Source organism: Homo sapiens, chromosome 14 (assembly GCF_000001405.40).
Source record: "Homo sapiens chromosome 14, GRCh38.p14 Primary Assembly".
Taxonomy (NCBI): Eukaryota; Metazoa; Chordata; class Mammalia; order Primates; family Hominidae; genus Homo; species Homo sapiens.
In genome coordinates this window covers 101,879,539-101,898,465 of record NC_000014.9, presented here as the reverse complement: position 1 = coordinate 101,898,465, position 18,927 = coordinate 101,879,539, and the positions used below count along the sequence as shown (strand labels likewise).

The 18,927-nt window shown below is 46.5% G+C and overlaps 1 protein-coding gene across 29 annotated transcripts in view; it reads right to left on the bottom strand.

Moving 5' to 3' along the window:
- PPP2R5C (protein phosphatase 2 regulatory subunit B'gamma) overlaps positions 1 to 18,927 on the bottom strand; it is a 167,420-nt gene that overhangs the window by 29,527 nt on the left and 118,966 nt on the right. For all 29 annotated transcript variants that reach the window (XM_005267819.2, XM_005267824.2, XM_005267827.2 and 26 more), the window contains 6 exons: positions 16,195 to 16,305; positions 15,117 to 15,209; positions 14,904 to 15,034; positions 8,170 to 8,229; positions 5,358 to 5,466; positions 3,906 to 3,959 (listed from right to left, as the gene is read on the bottom strand). In XM_005267819.2, the coding sequence (XP_005267876.1) occupies positions 3,906 to 3,959; positions 5,358 to 5,466; positions 8,170 to 8,229; positions 14,904 to 15,034; positions 15,117 to 15,209; positions 16,195 to 16,305 (558 nt within the window). The remainder of the gene's footprint in view (positions 1 to 3,905; positions 3,960 to 5,357; positions 5,467 to 8,169; positions 8,230 to 14,903; positions 15,035 to 15,116; positions 15,210 to 16,194; positions 16,306 to 18,927) is intronic.

Below are 18,927 nucleotides of genomic sequence, written 5' to 3'. Positions count from 1 at the left end.
TGCTTTTGTGTTACTTTTCGGTGGAAGAGAGAATAGGGTGAGGCTCATTCACCGAGCCCTCGGTGGAGAAGGTTAGGGTCAGGCTGACAGACAGTGGATGGCGGGATAGAGATGCTGGGACAGTGGCTTAGGTGGGAGCAGCCTCTGTCTGTGGTAAACGCAATGTGGCATTTGGTGAATTGTTCAGCCACTACAGGATATGAGAAATACGCACAAAGAAAATTCATGAAAGAAAAATACATACTTTCAAAAATCTCTCCTTCCATAGCTTTTTTTCCCTTCCATTTGTATTTACTTATTTATTTGAGACAGGGTCTTACTCTGTCACTCAGGATGGAGTGAAGTTGGTGCGTTCATAGCTCACTGCAGCCTTGACCCCCTGGGCTCAAACAACTCTTCCACCTCGGCCTCTCGAGTAGCTGGGACCACAGGTACATGTCACCATGCCCAGCTAATTAAATTTTTTTTTTTTTGGTAGAGAGGAGGTCTCACTATGTTTCCCAGGCTGGTCTCAAACTCCTGGCTTCAAGGGCTCCTCCTGCCTTGGCCTCCCAAAGTGCTGGGATTAGGGGCATGAGCCACTGTGCCCAGTTGTCTTTTATTTTTGAATAGGAAAAGGTGGGAGAGGAGGGGAGAGATAAATTTTTTTTTTTTTTTTACATATTACTTTCTCCAGTAAAACCTCTGTGATAGTTAATACTCAGTGTCAACTTGTTTGGATTGAAGGATGCACTGGGTGTGCCTGTGAGGGTGTTGCAAAAGGAGATTAACATGTGAGTCAGTGGGCTAGGAAAGGCAGACCCACCCTTAATGGGGGTGGGCACCACCTAAGCTGCCAGAGAGGCCAGAATATAAAGCAGGCAGAAGAACGTGAAAAGACTAGACTGGCCTAGCCTCCCAGCCTGCATCTTTCTCCCGTGCCGGACGCTTCCTGCCCTCGAACATCGGAATCCAAGTTCCTCAGCTTTGGAACGGGCCTGGCTTCCCTGCTCCTCAGCTTGCAGACGGGCTATTGTGGGACCTGGGTGACAGAGCGAGATCCTGTCTCAAAAAAAAAAAAAAATACAACCTCTCACCCTTCAGTTTGGAGAATACCTCAGATATAGGCAGAAGAGTTAGGGCATGTAACCACTGGAGAAAATACAGTTTAAAAAAAAAATCCCCAATGAGTTTTATTAACACTGTTCATTTTTCTTTTTCCTACCTAAACATGTCTTCAGTCGTTAAGAAGGATAAAAATAACACCTCCTCACCCTAAGCCTTGACTATGCTTGATGCTGAAGTGTGATGAGATTTGGTACATTTCCTTGGGAGGTCCCCAAAATCTCAGGCGGAGGTATCTAGGGGCTGGAGGGAGAGTGTGCAGGGATGCGTCCTTCCACGAGGGCCCGGCAGGACAGGGCGGGCCCAGCTCGTGGCTCTGTAGCACCTGCTACCTCTGCAGTCATAGGACAAGAGCTCTTCTTGAATTTTGTGGGTGAAATGGAGGGAATCTACACATAGAATTTAAAAACTTACAAGAAAGCAGAGCCCAAAAGCCAGTTTAACTCAGAAATTCAATGTTAAGAATTTCTCATGCAATTTCACTATAAAAATTACAACTTCACAAAAGAACTGTGAAAGAGAGAAAGGGCCCAGGAGTGACAAGATCTACTTTTTCTAGTCTAACAGTGACTTTTAAAAGAGCATTCAAACATTTGAATTGGTTCCTAACATTCCTTACTTTGATACTCAAATAATTAAAAAAAAACTCCAATGTAAAAAATGGGCAATGGATTTAAATGGACATTTCTGCAAAGAAGATATACACTTTTTTTTTTTTTTTTTTTGGAGACAGGGTTTCACTGTGTTGCCCAGGCACACGCCATCATGCCTGGCTAATTTTTGTATTTTTTGTAGAGATGGGATTTTGCCATATTGCCCAGGCTGGTCTCCAACTCTTGGGCTCAAGTGATTCACCCGCCTCAGCCTCCCAAAGTGTTGGGACTACAGGCGTGAGCCACCGCGCCCGGCCAAGAAGATATACAGATTTTGGTCAACAAGCGCTGAAAAGATGCTCAACATCATCAGTCATTAGGGAACTGCAAATCAAAACCACAACAAGATACTCTTTCACACCACTAGGATGGCTATAATTAAAACAACAGGTCGGGTGTGGTGGCTTACGCCTGTTATCCTAGCACTTTGGGAGGCTGAGGCGGGTGGATCACTTGAGGTCAGGAGTTTGAGACCAGCCTGGCCAACATGGTGAAACTCTGTCTCTAATAAAAATGCAAAAATTAGCCGGGCATGGTGGCAGGCACCTGTAATCCCAGCTACTTGGGAGGCTGAGATAGGAGAATCGCTTGAACCCAGGAGGCAGAGGTTGTGGTGAGCCAAGATTGCACCATTGCACTCCAGCCTGGGTGACAGAGTGAGACTTTCTCTCAAAAAAATAAGATAAAATAAAATAAATAAAAAGAAAGCAACAGCAGCAGCAGCAGCATCAGCACTGGTGAGAATGTGGGGAGATGGGAGCCTTTGTGCATTGCTGCAGGGAATGTAAAACGGGACAGTCACTGTGGAAAACAGTATGGGGGTCTGTCCCGCAGCTAAACATACAATTACCATATGATTCAGCAATTCCACTCCTGGATATATATCCAAAGGAACTGAAAATGGGGATTATAGCAAATATTTGTACACCAGTATCCAAATAGCAGCATTATTCACAATAGCTAAAAGGTGGGAACAACCCAGGTGTACACTGAAAAAACAATGAATAAACCCAATGTGTTCTATCCATATGATAGAACAGCATTCAACCATGATGAGGAATGAAGTTCTGATACGCAACCCAAGAATGAGCCCTGGAAGACATTACGCTGAGTGAAATAAGCCAGGTGTGAAAGGACAAGCGTTTTATGATTCTCCTTATATAAGGTACCTAGAATAGTCAAATTCAGAGATAAAGTAGATTACAGGTCAGCAGGGGCCAGAGGGAGGGAGAACGGAGAGTTATTGTTTAATGGGTAGAATTTCTGTTTGGGATGATGACAAAGCTTTGGAAATAGTGGTGATGGTTGCGCAACACTATGAATGTCATTAACGCTGGTGAACTGTACATTTAACGCGGTTAAAATGACAAATTTTATGTTATATGTATTTTACCACAATTTAAAAAAATTCAAAATGTAACGTATCAAAAATTTTTGAATTGTACTCTTTAAATGGGTGAATTGTGTGGTATGTGAATTATATCTCAATAAAGTTGTTTCAAAAAATGTATTTAAATGCTTAAACTGGCACCTGACATGTCTGGCTTTGTTAACCCTGGCTATGATAGCCTATTTTAATAAACATAAAATGTTAAGAAAATTATAAATCCTCTGACATAATTATGGAGGCTGAAAAAAAATTACAGATCCACGCACAGAACAGCAGTAATCTAACGTTCACTTGTGATTCAATGATCATAAAATAGTTACAGTGTAACTTGGGAAGTATTTTCAAGGCGGTAAAGCCTCTTTAGTACAACAATAATTTCAAACCCTAACTATAATTCCTCTGATCATAATCAGTTCAATATGTTGTCAAACCAAGCAGATGTGAAACTACTGAATTGCACACTAAAATTTAGTGGCTACAATAACCGCTCAAGTGCTTTACGTTCAAACAGTAAAGTGCAACGAGGGACAAGGTGGCAATCTCATTACATAAAATAATCACTATAATAAAGGAATCTGCAATTAAAATGACTATACTTTGAAAACCTATAACCCATGAATGAAATGAGCCTGTTTATTAGTATTGCAATTTAAGATGAAAAAGTCTGAATGAATGGCAATTTGGTGAAGCAGATGTTGTAATATTTACATTTAGTGAAATGCACACATCTTACAAGACGCGCTAGCATCAGTACTTACTGGTTCCGTGAGGGTGCTGTCCTTTTCTAAAAACTGCACTACACAGTATGCCAGCTAAAAAGTAAAAGGAGAAAGAGCATTAACATTTCAACATAAAAATGCTGCTGTGCTTCTTCTAGAATCATCGTTAAACACCTTCCCACAGCAAGACAAGGACCCACGGTACAGACAAAGCCCTTGTGTGATTAACGGGCATTAACATTTATGCCCATTAATTGGTGATAGATCAGAAAGCTGAAAAATAAAAATAAGAAAAATAAATCAGGAAACAGTCTTTTTAGTCTAACCACCGCTAAGTCAATCCAGTATGATGGGATTTTCTTGGGGTCCTTGTGCAGACTACAATCAACGAGTCATCTAACAGTGGGGAACAACAAATTAAAATCTGGTTCCATCTTAAATCTCTGAACTATTAATTTCTTTTGTACAACAATATGATAATCTGGCTGGATGCAAAGATATTACCAGTTAAGAGCAGTCAGAGAAAATAAATATGTTCTAGGAAGAATCAATTAAAGAATATACTTTTTGTCATTTAGCCCCTACCATAAGCTCTGAAAGTGGGGCCTGGCAGAGAGGAGCCTTGTGCACCCCTGTGCCTGTGCTGGGGCGTGACTGCTCAGTGCCTGGCCCTGTGACAGCCGGAAGTGAACAAAGACGCCCACTGCAGCCAAAGAGTGAGAGAAAACCAAATCCAGGTAAATGCAGTCCATTAACCACTTATTGACCAATTTTTCAGTACAGCTGTACTTAGATTACTACAGTTTAAAAAATTCACAGCTTTATTCATTCATTTATTTATTTATTTTTGAGATGGAGTTTCACTCTTGTTGCCCAGGCTGGAGTGCAATGGCGCGATCTCGGCTCACTGCAACCTCCGCCTCCCGGGTTCAAGCGATTCTCCTGCCTCAGCCTCCTGAGGAGCTGGGATTACAGGCATGTGCCACCATGCCCGGCTAGTTTTGTATTTTAAGTAGAGACGGTTTTCTCCATGTTGGTCAGGCTGGTCTTGAACTCCCAACCTCAGGTGATCTGTCCGCCTCAGCCTCCCAAAGTGCTGGGATTATAGGCAGCTTTATTTTTTTAAAAAACGTTTTCATAGGCCATTCATTGGCCATGGACCTATATAGGCTTTTCTCTTTAAGGTACTGAATTTTAGATTACACTACAGAAAACTCCTCTCAGAAGTCTTCCTAGACTCCTTTCAGAGAGTTACTCCTTTCTCAATGCTTAAAACTGAAAAATTCTGTATTACAGAGATTTTTCTGAATTTCTTAAAAGGAATCTCTCTTTACCCCCTTATTCTTTCGATTATCACCAGAAGTTTGTTACCAAAGTTAGTACAGGCCTATAAAGAAGAAAGCACTCTCAGTCAAGGCCGGATTCACTATCTCGTGTTCAATCCTGATCAAATGCCAACAGCTGTGTTCCTAGAGTCCTGCTGCCCCTTACCTGGGGATGGTAGACACTCAGAGATTTCACTTTGTGCAAAGGTAGTAACACCTTCAATAAGAAAATCTTGTGCTCTTCTTTTAGTGGTAAGGCAAATCCATTAATTATACTGTAAAAAGAACATTTATTAGGTTTGAACATTTACGAATTCCAGGTTTTAAACAAATATCTTGCCGTCTTTCAATTTTTGTTTTCACCATCAAAACCCAGCAGGCAAAATATACGTAGCCAAGCATGTTGCCATGCACCTGTGCCCCAGCTAACTTGGGAGGCTGAGGCGGCAGGATCATCTGAACCCGGAGTTCGAGGCTGTAGTGCGCTATAATCACACCTGTGAAGAGCCACTGTTCTCTAGCCTGGGTAGTATAGCGAGATCCTATATAGGGGTCTGTGGAACACTTCATATAGTGCTCCGGTCCCTGCAACAGCCTAAGAGGGAAATCCGAGGATTCTTCCTATATATATACATATGTGTGTGTGTATGTGTGTGTGTATCAGAAAAAAGAGGATACCAGCAAAAAGTTTAAAAATGCTAAATGCCTACCAGGAAGTATAGTTATTTTTATCTTTGTAACTACATAATTTAAAAATTCTGGGTTTACAGGTGTTACCCAGAACAGCAGGGAGCTGGCTCAACAGCAGGAGCTCCTGGTGGCAAAATCTTCCTCCCTAAACAGGCCAGGAAGACGGGACAGTTCACGTGGGACCCCCCCCACCCCCCACCCAACACCTTCCCTCAGCCTTATCCATCTGGTAGGCATTCTTGCTGCCTGGAGTAATTCAGGTATGTTATTCTAATGTTGGTAACAGAGACCCAGTGGATGCTGGATGAGAGCTGGTTAAAAATCAGTTAGGGCCAGGCGGTGGCTCATACCTGTAATCCCAGCATTCTGGGAGGCTGAGGTGGGTGGATCACCTGAGGTCAGGAATTCAAGACCAGCCTGGCCAAGATGGTGAAAGCCCATCTCTGCTAAAAATACAAAAAAATAGCCAGGCGCGGTGGCGGGCTCCTATAATCCCAGCTATTCAGGAGGCTGAGGCAGAGAATTGCTTGAACCTGGGAGGCAGAGTTTGCAGTGAGCTGAGATCGGGCCACTGCACTCCAGCCTCGGTGACAGAGCGAGACTCTATCTCAAAAACAAAAACAAAAAACAAACAAAAAAACAGAAAGCTGTTCCCTTGTGCAAGAAAAGAGGTCCTACCTAGAGCCTCCAAAGCAAAGTTTTTGTCTCAAACAACTAGTTTATTGTCTTGGTTTTGTAATTAGGCAAACGGGAGTGACTGCCACTGAGCTGCAGAAGTAGACAGAGCTGTCTCTAACTTGGTCTTCCATTACTGACTCTGCGCGGCACAGCGGACAATGCGGGAAGGGCGAGCCTGGAGCGGCCCATCAAGGAGGGTGTGCTCACTCACAGGGTCACCCGAAGGCTCAGCCTCATCTGGAAGAAGGATAAAACTAATCAGCCTCTCGGCGGGAGCTGCCCGGCGGCCCTATGCACACGGGGGCCCTACGCACACGGCATGGCGGGCTGTGGAACACATGTCATACAGCGCTCCGGTCCCTGCAACAACCTAGGAGGGAAATGCGAGGATGCGCCTATCTTACAGAAGTACCTGCCCATGGTCACACATCTAGTAAGAGAGGCATCCTCTTCACCACTCACTGCACTGCACTGAGGGAGAAACCCCGCCCAAGTTTGTCTAAACTAAAAGAATTGTCAGCGAGGACATTTTTTCAAATTACATCTAAAGTGGCAAGAATAGCTTTTCTCAGAACTACTGGGCAGGACCTGATCCACCCTGAGAAGAGAGTCTTGTGCTCAGGAGCTGCAGAGCGTCACTAGATCCATCCAGAGTGCCAGACTTCTCCACCACAGGCTCCTGAGAACCCGGAACTGCCCATCTACACTACATCCCTAAAAAGGTGCAGGAAAAAGCACTTCCACACTTACTAACCATGGGACCCTGAGGAACTCTGGGAAACAGTGGGTTAGAAGGTCTAATATAAAATCTACGGGTTATCAATTAAATAAAAGTGGCCGGGCGTGGTGGCTCATGCCTGTAATCTCAGCACTTTGGGAGGTGAGGCGGGCAGATCACCTGAGGCCAGCAGTTCGAGACCAGCCTGGGCAACATGGTGAAACCCCATCTCCACTAAAAATACAAAAATTAGCCAGGCATGGTGGCGGGCACCTGTAGTCCCAGCTACTCGGGAGGCTGAGGCAGCAGAATCGTTTGAACCAGGGAAGCAGAGATTGCAGTGAGCCGAGATCGTGCCACTGTACTTGAGCCTGGGTGCCAGAGCAAGAGTCTCAAAAAGAAAAAAAAAAAAAAAAAAAAAAAAGGGCAACTAAAAACTTTACTTGGATAAAGATGATGAAAGTTTTGAAATGTTAATTATTTTATAAATATACATATAAAAAACTGAAGTAATTAAAAATATTAGCATTTACATGATACCCCAAATGTACAATCTATTCTTCTTTCAAGCTTCTAATATAAACCTTCTTAGGTTAACTATTTTTAACATTGCTCTTGAGGAAATAACTGGAATTGTGTTTCCATAGTAATGATACTGAGGTATACGAAGTAGAATCTACGTACAGAACCATAAAAATGGGAGAGATTTGTCATTTGGCGTGCTCTAATCTAAGAGCTCACCAACTCCTGCTTTCAGTGAAATTGTATTTGAATTCTTTTAGAGAATGGTTTAAACTGCCTTGCTTTAAAGCGGGCAGCTGGACTCAATGAAATGGATCACTCTGGTATAAATTCCATCTACAGCCGTTTGCTACCCATAACAGAGGCTTACCTTCCCAATATTTCCAGTAACTCTGCTATGCCATTATGATGCTCTGTTTCATAAATAAACCTAGAAAAAACAATTTTCCCATTAGAATTAGACACTGAACTAACCTGAATAAGAAAACAATGCTCTAGGAGGAGCCATGGAGCCAGGCAACAAGAAGCGCATCTATTTGTGCAAACACTGCTCGTGGTGAGCAAGCAGCCCTTCAGGAACCAAAGAAACTCCTCAAGGCCTGCAGCTGTAAATGCCTCGAGGGCAGAGAACTTGGTCTTGCACGAATTTTTTTCTCAATATTTTATTTTGGAAAATTTCAAGCATCTAGGAAAACGGAAAGAATTCTACAGTGAACACCCATTTCAACCACCAGATTCGACCACGAGCAATGTGCTCCATCTGCTTGATCACACGCACATCTGTTCATCCATCTTTTACTCGTTCATTAATCCATCTTACGTTTTTGCTGTATTTCAACATAGGCCAATGTCTTACTTAATTTTAAAGCCCGCAATATTTAGCACAGTTCCTGCAAAGGGTAGAAGTGATTCCTGAACTCCTCTTATTCTACCTGCCCAGTTCCCCACTGACACCCACACGCATCCTCCGTGCTGTCTCAGGTGCGATCTTTCTGAAGCACCCATCTGCGACAGACCCAGCTCCCTTCCTCTGAGACATCTCTGTCCACTGCGCCTGCTTCTAGGGGAGCCCCAGGACACGCACCCTACCCTCTGTGCCAGCCTGTCTCCCTCCAGATGGGGCCACTGCAAAGACAGGGCCAAGGACTTCTCGTGACTATGTTCCCAGGGCTAGGAGCAAGCCTGGCATCTGTTTGATGCTGAAAACACGTCTGCTGAATAAACCGGGCACAAAGAGAGGGAACAGGGACATGTTAGGAAACAGGAAAATGTCCTCCCCGCAAAGGGCTCCTACAGAAACAAAGAAGCCTCTCCTGCCCCAAGCCTCGTGCACCTGGGATTGGTCTAGAGCAGTCCACGAGGGGTATCCTGCATGCAGTGAGAGGGTCTGAAAGATCCCTGCCCATCAGATGAAAACCATTTGATTAGAGACCGCTCTAAGCCAAAAATAAGTTTGAGAAGATTAAAAAATTCAACTCTGAAATTTCGTTCACTTTGTTTGAAACAAATGAAATAGTGTGACCTTAACATCCACAGATGTGAAATATTTTTCAAGAATGGGTCTTAACATTTCTATGTTCCCAAACATCAGAATGCACTGAGAGGTGGTGCTTGAATTGGGTACTGAAGGAGGATTTTCACAGATTTTTTTTTTTTATATGGCAGTGTGGAGAGGGAGAAGAACTCGTTTGGCTGGAACAAAGGTCTGTGCCGTGGAGTGGGGTGGGCAAGATGCATGGAGAGGCTGGAAGGCCAGCTTAGAAAAGCCGAAATCTGGCCGGGCACAGTGGCTCATGCCTGTAATCCCAGCACTTTGGGAGGCTGAAGCAGGTGGATCACCTGAGGTCAGGAGTTCAAGACGGGCCTGGCCAACATGGCAAAACTCCACCTCTACTAAATATATAAAAATTAGCCGGGCATGGTGGCACATGCCTGTAATCCCACATATGTGGGAGGCTGAGGTGGGAGGATCACTTGAACCTGGAAGATGGAGGTTGCAGTGAGCTGAGATGGCGCCACTGCATTCCAGCCTGGGCAACAGAGACCCTGTTTCAAAACAAAAAACAAAACAAAACAAAACAAAACAACACAACAGAAAAACTGAGATCTGCTCTTGCAGGAACCAGGAAGCAGAACCTTTAGCAGGGAGACCCAGTAGCACAACAATGCAGGTGGCCAAAGCCTAAGAGGGAGGGAGGGACGTTACCAGGGCAGAGCTCAGTGCCGTGGGTGACAGGAACGACACTGGTGCCATGACAAGAAACAGAAAATGCTCGCACCTGGTGTCCCTCAGCCTGCACCTACCCTGAGGCTTGGAAGCTGTGACCAAGCAGAAGTCAGTCTGTGTGTGTCTACACCGAGAGGTGCTTTAATTTACGAAACTCACCCTGCAGGCTCCCTTTGCATACACGGCAGCCGTGTGGCTTCAGTTTACTATTCCTCTCGCATGGACCTTGGAGAGCTGTGATCTGGGCCTCTCCGAGACAAAGACCCCTGGACCCCTTCTGGTCTAGATCCATCAGCTTTAACATTTACATAAGGATGGCTTGCAGTTATAAGCCATTTTGTTTTCCTAAATCAACATTACTACATTCTTACTGATAAATTCTTAATTTCTAATTTTTTAAACCTGCTTTGATGTAGGCAGAAGAAAGAAGAAATAAGGACAGTTCTTTTCCTTCTTCCTTTTCCAGCGGGAGACAAACAGGGACACCCTGGGAGGGAAACAGAGATCCCTGGGAGCCGGAGAGAGTGTTTCTCACTCTTTCAGCAGAAAGGGAATCAGACCCCCCAGACACTAAGCTGGGAACCTGCTGGCTATAGAAGTCTCCAGAAAGGATTCTAAATGCCTTTCCTGCCTGTATGATGTATTCTGGCCTCATGGGAAGAGGTGGACTCTATTTCTCCTTCCTCTGAAGCTGGGCTGTCCTTGTGCCCTGCTCTGACCAACACAAAGGGCAGAAGTCACTCTGCACCAGTTCCAAGCCAAACTCTTAGGAGGACTGGGGGTCCTGCCTCTCCCCTCTTGGACGTGGCCGTGGCTGTAGAAACTCAGACAACCTGGAGGAGCTCAAGGCATCACAGAGGCAGCGTGGGGACCTGCTCAGCAGCCCCTGTGAACACTCCAGCCCCAGCACACGCCACGGAGCAGAACCGTCTGGATGAGCCTAGCGCAGACGACAGCATCGTGAGGAGTGATGGACCATGCTGACAGAAGCCACTGAGCTGGCGGTGGCTCCTGGCTCCAGGATGGTGTGAGGTAGTGACACATCCTGGTGATGATGGGGACAGTTTGATGGCATCTCTCTGTGAGATAAGAGCATGAGCAGGTGCTGCACAGCCTTGCTGCAGGGCCAGGGTGAGGATAGAGCATGACCCATGGCTGGTTATGCAGCAAGAGAAGGAACGGCACACTGCCCTGCCCGCCCAGCCTCCAGGTCCCGCTGTGTGCCAGAGCAGGCACCATGGGTTATGGACAGCACTGTTTAACTCACACTTAAGCTGACGGTAATGATAAACCATAGAAATAAACAGCAACCTTATATTTACATTTTCAGTTAAGTTGAGCCAAATATGTTCAAAATGTTTTTTCTTACAAGACACAGCTGTTCTATATTGAACTTAGATGAGCTGGCTGGGTGTGGTGGCTCACGCCTGTAATCCCAGTGCTTTGGGAGGCTGAGGCAGGAGGATCACTTGAGGCCAGGAGTTTGAGACCAGCCTGGGCAACACAGTGAGACAGATCTCCATCTCTACAAAAATTTTAAAAGTTAGCCGCATGTGGTGGCACACATCTGTAGACCCAGCTACTTGGGAAGCTGAGGTAGAAGGATCCCTTAAGCCCAGGGGTTTGAGGCTGCAGTGAGCTATGGAGTACAGCATCACTGTACTCCAGCCTGGGTGACAGAGTGAGACCCTGCCTTAAAAAAGGAGAAAAGAAAAGAAAAGAAAAGAAAAAAACCTAGATGAGCTGAATGCAACTCTCAAGATCTTTCTTCTTTTTTTTTCCTCACATGAAATGAGGAGGTAGTGGTATTGACAATGAGGACCCAAACCAATCACGGAATCTAGATAGCATGCTTGCTTTTGACTGCGCGTATCAGGACAATTACAGAAAAGACTATCAAAAGCATGCACACAATTACAGAAAAGACTATCAAAAGCATGCACACAATTACAGAAAAGACTATCAAAAGCATGCACACAATTACAGAAAAGACTATCAAAAGCATGCACACAGACACAAATGCCATATTCTAGCACCAAGCCTTTAGTGAGAACTCAAGTAAATTATGCGTAATAACTTTGGAATACTAATCTATTTAAGTATTTCCTAAGGTTCTTTAAGGTACAAAACACTTTCTACTACTTTTTTTTTTTTTTTTTGAGACGGAGTCTTGCTCTGTCGCCCAGGCTGGAGTGCAGTGGCACGATCTCGGCTCACTGTAAGCTCCGCCTCCCGGGTTCACGCCATTCTCCCGCCTCAGCCTCCCGAGTAGCTGGGACTACAGGTGCCCGCCACCACGCCCGGCTAATTTTTTGTATTTTTAGTAGAGATGGGGTTTCACCGTGTTAGCCAGTATGGTCTCGATCTCCTGACCTTGTGATCTGCCCGCCTCGGCCTCCCAAAGTGCTGGGATTACAGGCGTGAGCCACCACGCCCGGCCCATTTTCTACTTCTTAAATGCAGATGTTCAATAGATTTGTGATTCTGCTATCTGAACAAAACCTACTAGAATTAAGAAAACAGAAATATGTTAGGTAGAGCTTTAATTTTAGGTCAAGAAGACTGGAAATTTAAATTGTACCTGTTGTATGTTAAATAATGTATATTATGTTTTCATAGATAAGTATACCAGGCAAGTAATGATCTTGTTAAAAAGGAATCATGATACCAAGAAACATAAAATAGAAACATAACATTTAGGAAAGTGACATCATTCTCTGTTATAGTTAATGTGTCAGGTCTGGGCTATGTCCAGCACCGGGCTCCATTTTACAAACGAGATGTGGGGTACTTGGAAGGAGTTCAAAGGAAAGCCACACGCAAAATCAAAGGCTCTCACGCCGAAATGCCCTATCAGGTGTGCAGGTCAGGAGGGAATGCAACCCTTATGACTGCAGAGGGGAAAGGCAGGGTGCTCCTGACGCAGGCTGTGCAAGCCGGCACGGGATGGGAGAGGCCGGGGCTGTGGGCCCTAATGACTGCAGAGGGAAAGGCAGGGTGCTCCCGACGCAGGCTGTGCAAGCCGGCACGGGATGGGAGAGGCCGGGGCTGCGGGCCCTAATGACTGCAGACGGAAAGGCAGGGTGCTCCCGACGCAGGCTGTGCAAGCCGGCACGGGATGGGAGGGGCCAGGGCTGTGGGTTTTGGCAGGGGGGGTCTCATCTGCCATCTGTCTGTCTCAGATGCCCCTTTTCTTTTCCCGTGGTCACTGTGACTAAGAAAGGACCCCGAGGCCCGTGTTGGGCGTGGCTGACACCTGGCCCCTTCTCCAGGCCATGGCCCGTGCTCTGTCCACACCCTGGCCCTGCAGCGAGGCTGTGTGGGACCTGCTCATGCTCTTATCTCACAGAGACACGCCATCATACCGTCCCCACCATCACCAGGATGTGTCACTACCTCGCAACATCCTGGAGTCAGATGCCTTAGAGGCAAGCTGACCAGAGAAGCTGTAACTTGTAGAAGAAACTGCTCATTTAGTGAACTTTCCAGGAACAAAAAGAAACAACAGGAACTGTTTCCTCTATTGACATTCACTTGGTGCCACCGCAGTGGGGAGCACGAAACTGGCAGTGGGGTGGGGCGTGCGACAAATCAACTGACATGGTGGCTGCCCTTGCGGGAGACCAGACCCACCGCCAAGTCAGGCAGAGCCTCCCAGTGAAGGGATGTTTCAGGAAGCCTGGGAGGCTGAGGGAAGGGCTGGTGTAAAAAAGACATTCCAGGAGGCTCCAACACTGGCTACAGAGCCCTGGCGTGGAAGGAGCCTGGAGCTGAGCAGAGGCTGGCTGGGGAGGGGCGGGCCTGGAGGTGGGCCTGCCACTGGACTCTGTCCTCCTCCACCGGCTGCTCCAGCGGGGCTTTCCCTCCCCTGGTGCACAGTGGGAGTCTCCAAACCTTTAACCGAGGTGCACAGATCTCAGGCTTTCTACAGATGAATGACATCACTTCTTGCCCCGCCTCCTCTCACTGAGACTCCACGGGAAGAATGAGGTGATGCACAGGTAGAAGGAAAAAGCTGGTGTGAAGGTTAATACTGAGTGTCAACTTGACTAGATTGAAGGATGCAAAGTATTGTGCCTGGGTATGTCTGTGAGGGTGTTGCCAAAGGAGATTAACATTTGAGTCAGTGGACTGGGAGACGCAGACCCATCCTTAACCTGGGTGGGCACCATCTAATCAGCTGCCGGTGCGGCCAGAATTAAGCAGGCAGAGGAACGTGGAAGGGCTAGACTGGCTGAGTCTTCTGGCCTCCATCTTTCTCCTGTGCTGGATGCTTCCTGCCCTTGAACATTGGACTCTAAATTCTTCAGCTTCTGGACTCTTGGACCTACACCAGTGGTTTGCCAGGGGCTCCTGGGCTTTCCGCCACAGACTGAAGGCTGCACTGTCCGTCTCCCTACTTTTGAGGTTTTGGGACTCGGCCTGCAGACAGCCTATTGTGGGTCTTCACCTTGTGATCGTGTGAGTCAACTCTCCTAATAAACTCCCCTTCATATATTCATCTATCCTATGCGTCCTGTCCTTCTAGAGAACCTTCACTAATACAGTTGGTCTGGATGGAACCAATTCATCCACATTTCCAGGAAACTTGACCTTTCAGTAGAAACAGGAACAATGGAGGGACCCAGGATGAGGCGCTGGGGAGCTTGGTGGCTCAGGAGGGAGCTGTGGGGAGAGGGGAGGAAGGCAGGGAGGATGAGCCCAGCAGCCCCCTGCACACAGTGCACAAGGGGGTCCACCTGCACATGACAAATAGGCTTTGAGAAACCCCCTCCACATGCTGAGTCCTGTCAGAGGAGACGATGGGGTAGGGGAGCATCGAGGGGGGAAATGAGCATCACCACACACAAGGACAACGCCATCCACACGTGACTTACCTATAAAATATATTATTTATCTGTTTTCTGATGTAAGCTCTCAAGCCTAGGAATTTCCCATAGATTCTGTGAAGGGTGGTTTTAAGAAAATCTCTCTCCCGAGGATCTTCACTGTCAAAGAGCTCTAAAAGCTTTGAGAAGAAAAAGACACTTAGTGGCTGGGTGTCATCATTCCATCAGGGCTTTCAGAGTGTCAGCTAATTTGTACCTTACCTGCAATACAAACTTCTGATCAATATATTTCTTCGCTATATTAGGTTGGAAATCTGGAGACTCTAAAAATCTTAAGAAAAATTCATAAACAAGCTAGGAGGAAAAAAAACAATGAGTCAAATAACATGAGATTTTATTGAATGGCGGTTAAAATATACCAGAAATTGAATCTTTATTGGTATGCAAATATTAGCCTCTCAAAGCCACATATCTACAGAATTAATGCTAAATTACATGGCTTAATTCAATGATAAATGGTGATGGTAATTATTTTATTTGGTGAAACCCACAGACTACACCCTTAAACGGCATTTAAACAAAATGATCTCCATGGCTGATGTCATCAGTTATAGTACACTGTTCAGGGACTACAGGGCACAGATGCCACAAACCAAGCCATGACCCAACTCTGCAGGGGGGATTTGCAGCCTGTCGCCTAGGAGTGTCCCACAATGCCAAGGCGCAGAGCCAACCAAATACACAGGAACTCTGGGGCTGCCAGGTAAGAGGGCCCTAAGATGTGGACCCAGAATCATGACCTCCTGGAGCTGGGACAATTCTTTCCCTGTGCAGACATGCTGGGTGGGACAGCGTGGGCCGCCTGTCACGGATGGATGGCCCTCCCACCCGCACACCTGGCCCCCGCTCTGCTCATGCCGACCCTGGCGCCTCCTTGCCAACCAACCTTCTGCCTTACAAATGCCCTGGGGAAAGGCAGTGGCCAGCGCAGGACCTGGGGGCCCAGCAGGCACCTATTAAATATGAGGAGCAAAAACTGGGAGATTGTTGGCTTAGGACCTCTGGGCCTGAATTCAATTCAACGGCCATCAACACAGCGGCCATCTTCACTGAGAACATACTCACAATTACACATCTTCACTGGCTGTTGTAAAGTGGTCAAACACACACATTAACTTTATTCTGCTGAAATATTTTTCTTGTACATATGGGTTTACGAGGCCCATGCTACTGAGGAGGAGAGGTCCATCTGGCCAGACCAGTGCGCCCGCTCTGTGGATCCCAGGCCATTCCCATGTGTCACCAGTGCCCTCCGAGTCTATCACCCAGAGCCCGATACCTGTAGATGAGGCCAGGCTGCTTCTAACGTTGGTTCATCTTCCTCCGGGTCAAATTCCGCTCCCGTAGGATTGGAGGAAGGTGGTAATGTTCGAAACATGTTAACTGCAAACTAAAATCCACATATTCTATAATTACAATCAGGGCATTTAAAATATTTACAGACAACATTTTATAAAGTCTTAGGTAATTCTAACAGTAGCCGCTTCCCATGGTAACTTAGCTCCTCCGTATCCTCAAAACGCAGAAGCTGTGTGGGTCCTCAGAGAGAGCCTGGATCAAAACTGCAGCAGGAAACATCACTTTGGACAGGTGCGCACGCAAGTTGACCACCAAAGTTACTTGGACTCTTGACTGTCAAACTTTGAATGACAACCAACACCAACAAAGGCTGATGGCACAGTGATGACTTCTGAGGTCTTATACTATCCAGTGGGTGCAAGACCAAGGAGAATGCTCAAAATGAGAGTAAGAAAGGGATGAGATGACGAAAGACGCAGCAGAGATTCACAGCTGAAAATGCTGGAAATGGCAAGGGCTGCGTCACGCAGGGAGGACCCGTGTGACAATGGCACCAACATCCTCTGCAATCCGCAACGATGAGGAAAGCAACAGTCAGAGTGGGACGACCTTTGAGTCGGCAGCTAAGATCATTTCCAGAGAAAGGACTGCTCAGGGGCACAGAGGATCGGTAGGGGCAGCATGGCTGTGCGCCCAGGCATGGGCTGTTAGATTTCTCTCAGTCTGTTTGGACTTGTATAACACATACTGACAGATCAGTGACATAAACAGAAAAGATTACTGTTTCCATGTCATACATTTATAACCTATTTTTATTTTGTACTAAATCTATGTATTTATTTATTTATTTTTGAGGTGACGTCTCCCTCTGCGGCCCAGGTTGGAGTGTAGTGGTGCGAACTCGACTCATCACAACCTCTGCCTCCCGGGTTCAAGTGATTCTTGTGCCTCAGCCTCCCGAGTAGCTAGAATTACAGGCGTGCACCACCATGCCTGGCTAATTTTTGTATTTTTAGTAGAGATGGGATTTCACCACGGTTTCACCATGTTGGCCAGGCCAGTCTCAAACTCCTGACCTCAAGTGATCCGCTCCCCTCAGCCTCCCAAAGTGCTGGGATTACAGGCGTGAGTCACCATGCCCAACCCTCTTTTATACTAAGTCTAAATATGATTGGTTACCTTATTGAATCTCTGAACGGATCGTATGCCAGTTATATAACTGGGTTCTGGTGAATGGCTCTTATAGGTGATCACAACCCCAGTCCCACCACTCTCAGAAGCACAAAATCAAAACCTTTGACATAAAAGATTAAAATCTGACTCTACGATAACAACGAGAAGATGTTTCTAGAGAGTCCAGGGCAAACTTGGCTGGCTTTAGATACCCAGTCTTGTAAAGACCAAGCTAATACTCAATGTCACCACTGCTGTTTCTTCCCTTTTCTTTTTTCCTCTTAAAGACAGGGCATCTCTCTGCTGCCCAGGCTGGAGTACAGTGGCCATCATCGCTCACTGCAGCCTCCAACTCCTGGGTTCACACGATCCTCCTGCCCCAGCCTCCCAAGTAGCTGGGACTACCAGCACGCACCACCATGCTCTGCTAATTTTATTTATTTTTTGCAGAGACAAGAACTCGCTACGTTGCCCATGCTGGTCTCAAACTCCTGGGCTTAAGCAATCCTCCTGCCTCGGCCTCCCAAAGTACTGGAATTAGAGGCGTGAGCCACCGCACCTGCCTGTTTCTTCCCTTCTTTACTGGTATTGATACTGAACTCCAAACCTTAATATCATTTTTCAGAAAGTCATCAGCTATAAAAGCTCTGAGCATCAAGCATCTGAGTATCAAGCATCTGAGCTTGTTCTCTGTGTCATCTGAGAGGGGAGCTGACGTAAAGACCAACTGTAATGGCCTTCACGGATACTGTAGAAACGCAGGGATGAAAAAAGGGGCTGAAAAGCCAGGAACAACTAATTAAAAAACACTTCTAGTAAAAGTATGAGTAATGTTCCTAAGACATAGGTACAAAGACAAAAGTTTGCAATCTAAAACCGAGAGTTAACCTGACTCTCACTGGTGTTATAATTTCTGGCAATGTCTACTCTCCAGGGACTGTCCCCTCCTCTGTGAAGCTAGTGTGTGTATAGGGCACTGCAAGGAGCCTCCCAAAGAACGGTGATTGACAGGTGGACGGCCCTGCCTCAGTTGCTGGCCCACAGGCACTCGGCGCAGACAGGGGTCTAGTCTGCCCCTCCTGGCACCCTGACCCCAAAGCCCACAGACGTGAACAAGCAGATGCTAAAAGCTCAACTATTAAGGAAAGGCCACACACACACACACTTTGGGCAGGCCGCCATGTCCTCCCAGGGTCCTGTCATTAGCAGCCACTGCTGAAGCTCTCCATAACTTCCAGGGCCATGAAGGGCAGAGAAAGGAAAGTCTGAATTGAGTCTTTAGCTCCTACGGGGAGTGTGGCATTCGTGAACTGGGGTTTCTACCCTCTCTCTCAAAGCCAAGAGACTGGGGTGAGGGTCCAGTCACCCACAGGACAGGGTCACCTTCAGGAAAGGGAGATGGCACTTTGTTCTTCGGTGGGTTAGAGCTGTGGGCCCGGCCTGGTGCCGACAGGGGCAGAGCACAGTGTGGGGAGGGCAGAGCCTGGGCACGAACTCTGGGTGGCAGAGGAATCTGTGAACAGGACTATGCCTGGCAGGA